We start from the raw sequence: 12,167 nt of genomic DNA on the forward strand, positions 1-12,167 counted from the left end.
AACAGCCAAATGAGGTTTTCAAAATTTAGATCTTGTCTTGCTGCTCTCATGTTCAAGATCTACAAATGGTTTCCCATTGTTTTCAGATAAACTATAAATACATTAATCCTTCATACTGGCTCTTCATAGGTCTAATAATTGTCTATTTTTAAATTTTCATTCTTAAATTCTTGGAATACTTAACTCCTATTGTATACCATGCAGTGTTCTAGACACTCACCGGAGATACGGCAAGGTGGGGAAGTCAATAGTATAAACAACCAAACAACTAAATAAGATGTCAGATAGGGTTTAATGCTTTGAAGAAAAATAAAGTAGAGTATTGAGAATGATGGATTTGGGGGGAGTAGTGGCCACAGGATGGTCAGGAAAGATCTTTCTGAGGAAGTGACATTTGAACAGGGCCCCAAGCCATGCAGAGATATGGGGAAAGAGCCTTTGGGGTATGGGGAACTATAAGTGCAAAGGCCAAAAGTTGAGAACAATCTGAGGGGTGTGATCAAGGAACGGGAAGAAGGACAATGTGGCAGGAGCTAAGTGTGAGTAGAGGAGAGAGTGGTAGTATAAGACGTCAGAGAGTTAGTTAAGTAATAATCTGATCTCTCAAGAGTTTGTAGACATTTCATTTGGATTTTTGGCTTGGGTTTTATATTGAAAGGCTTGGAACAGGGAACTGATATAATGTGATTTACGTTTTTAAAAGATCACTGGCTGCTTTACTGGGGTAAGAGTGGAAGCCAAAGATCTGTTTGGAGGCTGTTGCAGTAATCCAAATGAGGTGATGGTGACTTGGATTAAAGTAATAGTGGAGAAGGAGGTGTGGTTGTATTTGCGATATATTTTGAAGGTAAAGTTCATAGGATTTACTGATGGATTTGATGTGGGGCTTGAGGACAAGTCTCAAAAAAATCCTGTTACATTTTTGTTCTGAGCAATTGGATGAATGATGATTCCATGTACACGAATTGGGAAGACTGGAAGAAGAAAATCAAAAGCCCTGCCAAGGGGCTGAGTGTGGGGGCTCATTCCTGTAATCCCAGCACTGTGGGAGGTCGAGGCCTGCGGATCCCTTGAGCCCAGGAGTTTGAGACCAGCCTGGGCAACATGGCGGAACCTCGTCTCTATTGAAAATACAAGAAATTAGCCAGACGTGGTGGCCCATGCCTGTAGTTCCAGCTACTCCAGAGGCTGAAGTGGGAGAATCACCTGAGCCTGGGAAGTCGATTACAGTGAGCCGTAATCGCACCACTGCCCTCCGGCCTGGGTGACGGGAGTGAGACCCTATCTCAAAAGAAAAAAAGTTCTGCTAAGGATGCATTATAGTTAAGACGCCTGTTAAGTGCCTTCAGCCTCTTTTCTCTCTGTCTCTCTCTGTTCTGTTCTTAAATTTCAGCCATATTGAATTTGTTCACTTTGATTTTCCATGTGCTCTCACTCTGTCAAAACACTTTTTCTCACCTGCTTGTCTTCATGGCTACGTCCTGCTCATCTTTCAGGTTTTAGCTTAAAGTTCACTTTCTCAGGGAGATTTTCCCCAACTGATTAGAGTTTTCCAGAGAGACAGAACGTAGATGTAGGATAGGATAGATGTAGATGTAGATATATAGACATATGATGGGATTTTTTAGGGGAATTGACTCACCCCACAATAGGCTGTCTGCAAGCTGGAAGCCCATGTCAGTCCAAGTTCAGAAACCTCAGAACCACAGAAGCCATGTAATTTTCAGGCCAAGGCTGAAGGCCTAAGAACTCAGGGGGCTGCGTGTACAAGTTCCTGGAGTCCAAAGGCTGGAGCACCTGGAGTTCTGATGTCCAAGGGCAGGGGAAGAGTGTCCCAGGTCCAGAAGAGAGAGAGAGAGAATATATTCTTCTTTCATCTGCCTTTTTGTTCTTTCTGTGCCCTCAGCTGATTGGATGATGCCCACCCACATTGAGAGCAGGTATTCCTCACTCAGTCCACTGACTCAAATGCCTGTCTCTCCTGGAAACATCCCCACAGACATGCCCAGAAATAATGCTTTACCACATGTCTATGTATTCCTCAATCCAGTCAAATTGACACAAAGTTAACTATCATGGCTGGGCACAGTGACTCACCCCTGTAATCCCAGCACTTTGGGAGGCTGAGGTGGGTGGATCGCTGGAGCTCAAGAGCTTGAGACCAGCCTGGCAACATGGCGAAACACCGTCTCTACAAGAATTAGCCGGGTGTGCTCATGTCTTTAGTCCTAGCTACTTGGGGTGCTGAGGTAGAAGGATTGGCTTGAACCTGGTAGTTCGAGGCTGCAGTAAGCCGAGATTGCACCACTGCAATCCAGCCTGGGCGAGAGTGAGATGACCTTGTCTCAAAAAAAAAAAAAAAAAAAGAAAGAAAGAGAAAAAAGAAAAAATTCACCGTCATACAAACTAATTGACTAGGTTTCGTTCCCTGCTATATGTGTTCATAATATTTATCACTGTTTATTGAAATTATTTGTTAAAAAGTTGTCTTACTTGACAGACTCTGTAAGAGTCATTTTTTAGATAATGAATTCACTGTATCTGCAATTCAAATAACTGTAGAATTTTCCTTACTGGGGCTAGGCACAGTGGCTCACACCTGCCCACCGCACTTTGGGAGACTGAGGCAGGCGGATCACTTCAGGTCAGCAGTTTGAGACCAGCCTGGCCAACATGGTGAAACTCTATCTCTACTAAAAATACAAAAATTAGCCAGGTGTGGTGGGGTGTACTGGTAGTCGCAGCTACTTGGGAGGCTGAGGCAGGAGAATCACTTGAACTCCGGAGGTAGAGGTTGCAGTGAGCCGAGATCACACCACTGCAATCCAATCTGGGTGATACGCCGAGACTCCCTCTGTTTCCAGTTTTTAGTCTTCATTAAGATGATTTTGGTCCCTGAGCTTACCAAAAAAAAAAAAAAAAAGATTGTTTCATTGTTATGTTACTAAATACCTTAAATTGTGTTAGAATAATGGGATCATGATTGATGTTGAACAACTAACTTGACATGATAAAATTCTCTTTAACTACTGTGTTATCTTTTACGTACAGCGGAAAGAACACCCGGAAATGAAAGGCCACCAAGAAGAAAGGTAAAAAGTTCGTATACTCTACTATCTTAATGGTTTCTGGAGTTCTAAAATGAGGCAGATATTCATTATAAGGCAGAAGGGTGTTACCAGAGAAGACTTCACAAGGTCATGTTTACTGGGTGATTGCCATAGCCCTGGCAGAGGTTAGTCTTTGTTTTTTGTCAGTACCCAGAGAATAGATGATCTTTGAGAGGTTGACTTACTGAGGAACTCCCAGGAAACAGGTGTATAAACCAGAATATGGAACAATTTCTAATGCTATCTTAAGTCCTGCAGCCTGGGACTTATGCATTAATATAACTAGTTTGTTTATTTATTTATTATTATTTATTTGAGATAGAGTTTCCCACTTGTTGCCCAGCTGGAGTGCAGTGGTGCAGTCTTGGCTCACTGGTACCTCTGCCTCCCGGGTTCAAGTGGTTCTCCTGCCTCAGCCTCCCAAGTAGCTGGGACTACAGGCACACACCTCCATGCCTGGCTAATTTTTTGTGTTTTTAGTAGAGAGAGGTTTTCACCATGTTGGTCAGGCTGGTCTTGAATTCCTGACCTCAGGTGATCCACCCGCCTCAGTGCTGGGATTACAGGCGTGAGCTACTGCACCTGGCCTCCCAAAGTGCTGGGATTACAGGCATGAGCCACGGCACCTGGCCGTATTCTAACTAGTTGAGTCTCACCCTGTGGACATTTGGATTCCTTACTTCTATGGAGGAATCTAAACGATAAGGTCAGTTGGTGAGCAATAGTGTCAGAACAAAGACACATTAGTTGGAAGTTAAATGGTATCAAATTACAATCATTAAGAGCAGTCATTTCCTCAGGACTATTACCTGCTTCTAGGATATTGACTACACTGGTTTTGATATTGCGTAGGCGGGGCATGGCTGAATTTTGCCACTATAAACCCTACTTTTGTATGTGGGCCATCCCCTCGTATTTGATGCCATTAAAAATAAATGTTAATGTGATTGACTAAGCTATCAAGTACTAGTTTTTCTCTGGGCCTAGGAGACATATAATTTTTCATTATATATTTATTCAATCAGTTTAACCCTAATTATTTTTTCCTTTTCTTTTTACTTCCAAGTACTTAACGCCCCCTCATGTACTACTGACTTCCATCAAAGAAGTTCGAAAAATTATTTCAAAATGTATTGTTAATTCACCCTTTCATAAGCAAAATGTAAAAATTTTGCTAAAAGTCCAGTTAAAGAAATTTTTAGTGAAGAAAATGTGATATTAAAGGGGATCCTTGCCAGAGGGTTTGAAGAAACAGTGCAGAGATATTTAGGTAGATTTAGTGTTGTTTTTAAAATTTGGACAGCAGCAGCATTGTGGGAGGTCAGATTTTACATATGTTGCAATTTTGCTTCTATTTCTTGTAATTGTAGCTTTTTGCTTTAAAATTAAAATTCTTTAAGAATTAAAGAATGTGTTTATATTTAAAATACTAAACGATTTTATATTTCTTAGGCACTACCTCCTAGGACAGAGAAAATGGCTGTTGACCAGGACTGGCCTAGTGTTTACCCAGTTGCAGCACCATTTAAACCCTCTGCAGTACCTCTTCCTGTTCGAATGGGTTATCCAGTAAAAAAGGGCGTGCCCATGGCAAAGGAGGGAAATCTAGAACTTTTAAAGGTAAGACAAATTGCTGATTCATTGGCTCAGACTTACATAGAAATAAATGCTGATCTTCCCCCCTATTTCTGCTCTCTTATGCTTCACCGTTCAGTGTATAGCAGCTTAGTGTATTTTAATTTAAATGTTAAAAATAATATAATAGGTTTATTATTATACAACACCAGATAATAATAGGTGTTGTATTTTGATTATCAATGGTAAAGAATACTCAAAGAATCCTAGGCATTTAATAATGTAATTAGTTGGCTGGGCGCAGTGGCTCACGCCTGTAATCCTGGCACTTTGGGAGGCCGAGGTGGGCAGATCACTTGAGGTCAGGAGTTCAAGACCAATCTGGCCAACATGGTGAAACCCCATCTCTACTAAAAACACACAAAAAATTAGCCAGACGTGGTGGTGGGCACCTGTAATCCCAGCTACTTGGGAGGCTGAGAAAGGAGAATTGCTTGAACCCAGGAGGCGGAGGTTGCAGTGAGCCGAGATGGCGCCACTGCACTCCAGCCTGGGCGATAGAGTGAGACTCTGTCTCAGGAAAAAAAAAAAGAGTAATTAGTCAATCTTGTGGCTTCCCTTGTGACCTTTTTCTGTTGTATCTCTTCTTTTTGGAGATGGGGGTCAGTATGTTGCCCAAGCTGGTCTTGAACTCCTGGGCTCAAGAGACATGCCTGCCTCAGCATCCCAAAGTGCTGGGATTACAGGTGTGAGCCACCACACCCAGCCTATCATATCTTTTCTATATTGCATCTTTCCAGTGGAATTAAGAAAAATGAAATAACCTAATTTGAGATTAAGAATTGGGAGGTGAAACTTCCAGTTTAAAAAGAGGAATTTAAATTTTTTCTGTCCATAAAGGTAGAATATTATTTAGTATTATTATTATAGTCTACCAAATTTAACTTTATTGCTTGAAGCAAAATAGGTTAAGGCAAATGCTTTGTTTGATAGCATGTATAATTATTTATCATGGGTGTTTTAAAGAAAATATAAATGCTTAGTCTGGGAATGCATATCTTAGATGGTTTCTTAAATACAATGAAAGTTATACAAAGGACAATGAACTGTTTTCCATTAGATGAGAGTCTTTGAAAAACAAAAGTTTGCTAAAAGGTGATGAGAACAGGGAGAATGGGTACTCTGTTGCTGGAGACAGGGGTAAATGAAATTTGGAAATGGGAATGTGAAGACACAAGAAAGCATACATCAAGGAAAACAAATGTTTTCTTTGAATGAAAGAAGATAATTTTGTTTAAAGAGGTCTTTGGAGAATCACTGGGTGAGAGAGTAGCGGTATATTTGCAATAATGCTAATGGTTGTAAATGACATTTTAATAAACATAAAAATCCAAACATTTAATGCATGCCATTTATTTGTAGTAATGGTGTCATTGAATAAGCTTATTAACTGAGCTAATGTATGCAAAGTGCATAGAACTGTGCCTATGTAAGTCCATGCAAATTGTCTATTGTTTTTTCCTTTCATGATATTTGAGTTTTATATGTTCATGTTTCAAAAATAAAAGTCTATCACTCTGATCTGTTAAAAGTAGCCCCTCAACACTAGGGTTTATAATTTTTAAAATGTATAAAAAGGAAAAAACCAAAAAGTACAGCAAATGAAGCTGCCCATCCCCAAATCCCAGTTTTCAGTGCCTATTTTCTCTTGATTAAAACAATATTTTCTGGCCAGGTGTGGTGGCTCACACCCGTAATCCCAGCACTTTGGGAAGCCAAGGCAGGCAGATCACTTGAAGTCAGGAGTTGGAGACCAGCCTGGCCAACATAGCAAAACCCCATCTCTACTAAAACTACAAAAAAATTAGCCAAGTGTAGTGGCGCATGCCTGTAATCCCAGCTACTTGGGAGACTGAGGCAGGAGAATCACTTGAACCCAGGGGGCAGAGGTTGCAGTGAGCCGGGGTCGTGCCACTGCGACAGAGCAAGACTCCATCTCAAAAACAAAAAACATTATTTTCTGATCAGCCCTCAAGATACTTGGCATAATTCGTGGAGTAACTTTCGGCTTGTTTAAATTTTCTTTCCAAATGAGCCTTTAAGCTCTTTCAGATGTTTAACATTATTCAAGAAATGACCTAATAAATGCTAATTATTTATTTGAAGAAATCAAATCTCTGACCTTTCCTGCATTTTCATTCACACTATGAATGATTCAGTAGCCTTTTAATGTGTCATCATAAATATATTCCTAACTTCATTAAACTATCCAGTTAAGATTTGCTACCTTCACTTATTAGTTCATAAAATGTTTATTATGTACAAAGTTGAAATACTGTCATGCTATGCAGCCCAGGGGAATTGGGATGATTAAACAATGATCCATATCCTGGCCGGGCACAGCGGCTCACACCTATAATCCCAGCACTTTGGGATACCAAGGCGGGCAGGTCACCTGAGGCCAGGAGTTTGAGACCAGCCTAGGCAACATGGTGAAACCCCGTCTCTACTAAAAATACAAAAATTAGCCGGGCATAGTGGCACATGCCTGTAATCCCAGCTACTTGGGAGGCTGAGGGAGGAGAATTGCTTGAGCCTGGGAGACAGAGGTTGCAGTGAGCTGAGATTGTGCCACTGCACTCCAGCCTGGGTGACAGAGCGAGACCCTGTCTCAGAAAAAAGAAAAAAACAAAACAAAAATCCACGTGCTTAAGTCCTTTCAGTTTTATAAAGGAAATATACATGTATACCTGTAGATTTGTGGCAGGAAGAATACTGTAAAAATGATGTTTAGTTTTTTTCATCATGATTGTCATTATAAGATGCTTGGTAAAAGACAAAAGATTTATATGATCTGAAGACAAATCCAGGTATCACTGTAAATTACTTGGTGCTGAATCTATATTTTAAGAAGTGTATTTCTTGAATTGACAACATCCGTGACAGAAAATCAATATTGTAAAAAAACAGATTTTGGGCGCGGTGGCTCACGCCTGTAATCCCAGCACTTTGGGAGGCCGAGGCGGGTGGATCATGAGGTCAGGAGATCGAGACCATCCTGGCTAACAAGGTGAAACCCCGTCTCTACTAAAAATACAAAAAATTAGCCGGGCGTGGTGGCGGGCGCCTGTAGTCCCAGCTACTCGGGAGGCTGAGGCAGGAGAATGGCGTGAACCCGGGAAGCGGAGCTTGCAGTGAGCCGAGATTGCGCCACTGCAGTCCGCAGTCCGGCCTGGGCGACAGAGCGAGACTCTGTCTCAAAAAAAAAAAAAAACAAACAGATTTTATTTACTACATGTTTTATTGGGCCTGTGATTTAGTTTTATGAGAAGATTATCTTTTTCATGTTTTTAAGACATTTAGCTAATTTATCTTTTAAATTTCTCTATTTAAGATTCCCAATTTTCTGCATTTGACTCCTGTAGCAATTAAAAAGCACTGTGAAGCCCTTAAAGGTAAGTGGTTATTTTCTTATATGAATTTTATATTGACTTTGAACATAAATTTAAGAATCTCTGTTCTGATATACTGTATAGCCTTATATTCAAGTTGTTTTCAGTGAATTGTTACATGTCAAGTCTGCAAATTGTTTTTGCTAACCACTACAAGGTATTAGGAATAATAATTAGAAACCATGATCCTTGTTCACAGGTAAGTTAGGGACTTACTGTTGAGTTTTAGAAAACATGCACATAAGGCTGAGTGTGGTGGCTCATACTTGTAATCCCAGCACTTTGGAAGGCCGAGGCGGGCAGACCACCTGAGGTTAGGATTTTGAGACCAGCCTGGCCAACATAGTGAAACCCTGTCTCTACTAAAAATACAAAAAAATTAGTCCTGCATGGTGGCAGGCACCTATAATCCCAGCTACTCTGGAGGCTGAGGCAGGAGAATCGCTTGAACTCAGGAGGTGGAGGTTGTGGTGAGTTTAAATCGCGCCATTGCACTCCAGCCTGGGCAACAAGAGGGAAACGCCATCTCAAAAAAAAAAAAAAAGAAAACAAACATGTTCCATATAAGAAGACTAAAGTAAATGTTGCAGATACTTCACAGAGAAGAATTATCTTGAAGAAATTATTTAAAATTTTAAAAAATTAGTGACACATGCATGTGGTAAATCAAATAGTAAAAGAGCTTATGATGAAAAAGCACTAGCCTTATGTGCTTTCTTTACCATCCCCAGCCCCTCATTTATTTATGTATATATGCTTATATTTATAATACTCTGTAGTATATATATTTATATATACTTGTATACTCTCTGTAGTGTGTATGTGTATTTATAAAATAACAGAAGTAATCACTGGAATATGATTACACCTTCAGTTCTGGATTTATTGATTTTGAAAACCTATTGATTTCTAGGTATAAACATAGATTTCATGTACTTACACTACTACTTCTCCTTCTCCTTCTTTCTACATGCATGGAGGTAAAGGCAAATAACATTTTTTAACTCATGGTTCTGTGTATGCTTTTATAATTATGTATATATTCCAATTTAAGTTCTGATTGATAGTTATGATTGATTAGATTTATTTAGGAGTTGGTACCTTTGGATAAAGTCTTAATATACTCATGCTGATTTAAAGGTGTTGTATATTACATGCTCAGTATACTTACTAAGGCTTTTCAGGAAAGAATATGAAACCTAGAAACACTTCACAAGTATCCTGATTATGTTGGGAAGGAGATGTGGAATAGTAAACATAATTATGATTAAATTTGAGCTTTTGAAAGGGCCTTCCGTTTAAAAATGTAAGGAAGACTATATAAAGAGGTCCTAAAACATAGGAATAATAACCTTACTCTTGAAATGAGGGAGGAAAAATCTGTTGCCTCTTAATAGGTCTTCTACTTTAGGACATTGGGATGCTTTTCTATCCCTTTAGAGTGTGTGTTTCTCTATGCATTTGTGCCTGGAATTAGATTAAAACTGATCACTTCCAAATTTGTGTCCCAGGCTGGGCATGGTGCCTCACACCTGTAATGCTCGCACTTTGGGAGTCTGAGGTGGGTGGATTGCTTGAGCTCAGGAGTTCAAGACCAGCCTGAGCAATGTGGTGAAACCCCATCTCTACAAAAAACACAAAAAATTAGCCGGGTGTGGTGGCATGTGCCTGTAGTCCCGGCTACTCGGGGGCCTGAGGCAGGAGGATTGGAACCCAGGAGATTGAGGCGGCAGTGAGCTCAGATCACGCCATTGCACTCCAGCCGGGGTAACAAAGTGAGATCCTGTCTCAAACAATAAAAAAAAATAAAATAAAATAACAAGTTTTTGTCCCGTTTGCCACAAATCATGTATTAGTATTTGATCATCTGTAAAGACAGTTAACAAATGGCATTGCACTGTGAAAAATTCCATGTTTCTTCTTTTTAAATGTGACAGGGCGTGGTAGCTCATGCTTTTAATTCCACAGTACAGCACTTTGAGAGGCCAAGGAAAAAGGATTGCTTGATCCCAGGAGTTTGAGACCATCCTGAGCAACATAGTGAGATCATGTCTCTACAAAAATATTAAAAAATTAGCTGGGGTGTGATGGCGCATGCCTGTGGTCCCAGCTACTCTGTAGGCTGAGGTGGACGACAGAGTGAGACCCTGTCGCAAAAAAACATAAAAATAAAAAAGTTTAAAAAAATTAAATGAAAGGCTTTTATACAGCACATTCGGAAGAGTGGCATTATATTTTATAGTATTTAAATGAGTGTCTTAATCTTTCCTTAATTATCCCTTTACACTTGCTGCTGGCCTCCGGATTCAGATTGCGTCTTCCGTATAACTCAAAGGCTTTTCAAGTACTTCTTCTCAGTTTTCTTTCAAAGTAGGTCAGTTCAGATTTTATATCTAACTTGCAAATGGAAAATCTGAAGCATGGGAAAGTTAGGTAATTTACCAAAACTTTAATAATCAGTGGCAGAAGTTAAATACAAACTAAGGTCTTCCAAAGTCTCATCTATTGCTCTACCTATCAGATGAGTAAAGGCTAATAGGAGTCTATTATGTGTTTTCCATTTGGCTGTCTTTTTTTAGACATATAATTTAGGTAATTTAATTTTAAAACTGTAATTATCATTTGATGATTGAAATGACTTATTCACATTTTTTTTTTTAAGTAAAAGAAAAAAGAGTCAGTGCAAACCCAAGAGCTCACAAAATTCCCCAAACTAGTCTCTCTTATAAAGTGCTTGGAAGTGATGCATCTTATAGTGCAGGATATTGGAGTAAGTTCATGATGGGAATGAAATTCAGCCTCAACAATCTTGCTCTGTTCATATTTTTTCAATGTTACAATGATGTTAATTGCAAAGATACTTCTTTCCCCTCAAAACGACCGGGTATTGATTTTTTAAACAGTGTTCAAGGAATGGAGTGAACTATGTTTAATTTGTTAACATGTTTAGTCCCAGATATCAGAGAGTCTTTGTAATCCAGAGTGACATTTTGCAGACTCTGATTTTAAAGCCTAAATGAGAGCAAAATATTGTTCCTATTATAAGAAAATCGTTAGCCCAAGGAAATGTTATTGGCAAAATAGTTCTCACTGCCCCTTAGACTGTCACCTAGAAGAGCTCCCACATCTGCCTGTGATTATGACCAGCCTTTTCTGCAGTTGTGCTTTTTTGGAGGAAGCATGGATCTGTGCAGTCTAATATGTTTGACCCAAGAAACCAGTTACTTTTAGCTGTTCTTAGAGTGAGGCTGTTTAAGAAATGAGATTTCCATTGTGGACAGCCTTATAGTGCCAGAAGTTTTCATCTCAAGCTGAAAGTTCTCTGCCATGCTAACTTGATTGAAACAGGACAAGATGAAATCAGCTCTGATACCTGGGGGAAGCTGGGAGCTACCTCTTTTCCTTTAAGTTTTTTTTTTTTTCCCATTAGGGGCCTGAGTTTATGCTTCTGTGTTATGAAGATAGAGAGGCATGTTCACAGTGCTTGGAGCTCCTGTTGTGGCCTAGGTCTCAGACCCAATCCCACTTCCTCTCTATGCTCTCTTGCCCAAATATGAGGACAAGGCTTTCTTCTTTCCATTTAACCCCATTGGCACATAGAAGTCACATAGAAAAAATATCAGTTCTTATAAGAATCCATTTAAGGGCTTAGGCATTTGTACCTGTTTGAGTTGAGGTTCTATTCAGCCAAATTTCTAGACGACTGTTGACTCCATCTCAGTTTCTTCTTAGGGCTTTTTGAGAGCTTTCAATTCCTTTCAGCTGATCTTTAGTAACCTTTAGTAATTAATACTATCTGTTACTTTTTTGAAAACAGTAATGCTGTGGGCACTATGAACTGTTTGCTTTTAGTTGGTACAGAGGAAGTAAACTGTCCAGTAACAGATATGTGCAAAGCTTATAATAAGCTTCCATCAAGGCACAGTTCCCTTTTAACTGAAAATACCATTACCACCAAACCTGAAATATCCAAAGAATTCCCTAATTAAATTGCCTAATTTAGGATGTACCTGATAGGAAAAGGGATAAG

The 12,167-nt window shown here is 39.6% G+C and overlaps 1 protein-coding gene across 3 annotated transcripts in view; it reads left to right on the top strand.

Annotated features, from left to right (window-relative positions):
- MRPS35 (mitochondrial ribosomal protein S35) overlaps positions 1-12,167 on the top strand; it is a 45,464-nt gene that overhangs the window by 897 nt on the left and 32,400 nt on the right. For all 3 annotated transcript variants that reach the window (NM_021821.4, NM_001190864.2, XM_017019780.2), the window contains exons 2-4: positions 3,052-3,092; positions 4,563-4,730; positions 8,080-8,140. In NM_021821.4, coding sequence (NP_068593.2) covers positions 3,052-3,092; positions 4,563-4,730; positions 8,080-8,140 — 270 coding nt within the window. The remainder of the gene's footprint in view (positions 1-3,051; positions 3,093-4,562; positions 4,731-8,079; positions 8,141-12,167) is intronic.

The sequence above is a fragment of the Homo sapiens genome, chromosome 12 (assembly GCF_000001405.40).
Source record: "Homo sapiens chromosome 12, GRCh38.p14 Primary Assembly".
Classification (NCBI taxonomy): domain Eukaryota; kingdom Metazoa; phylum Chordata; class Mammalia; order Primates; family Hominidae; genus Homo; species Homo sapiens.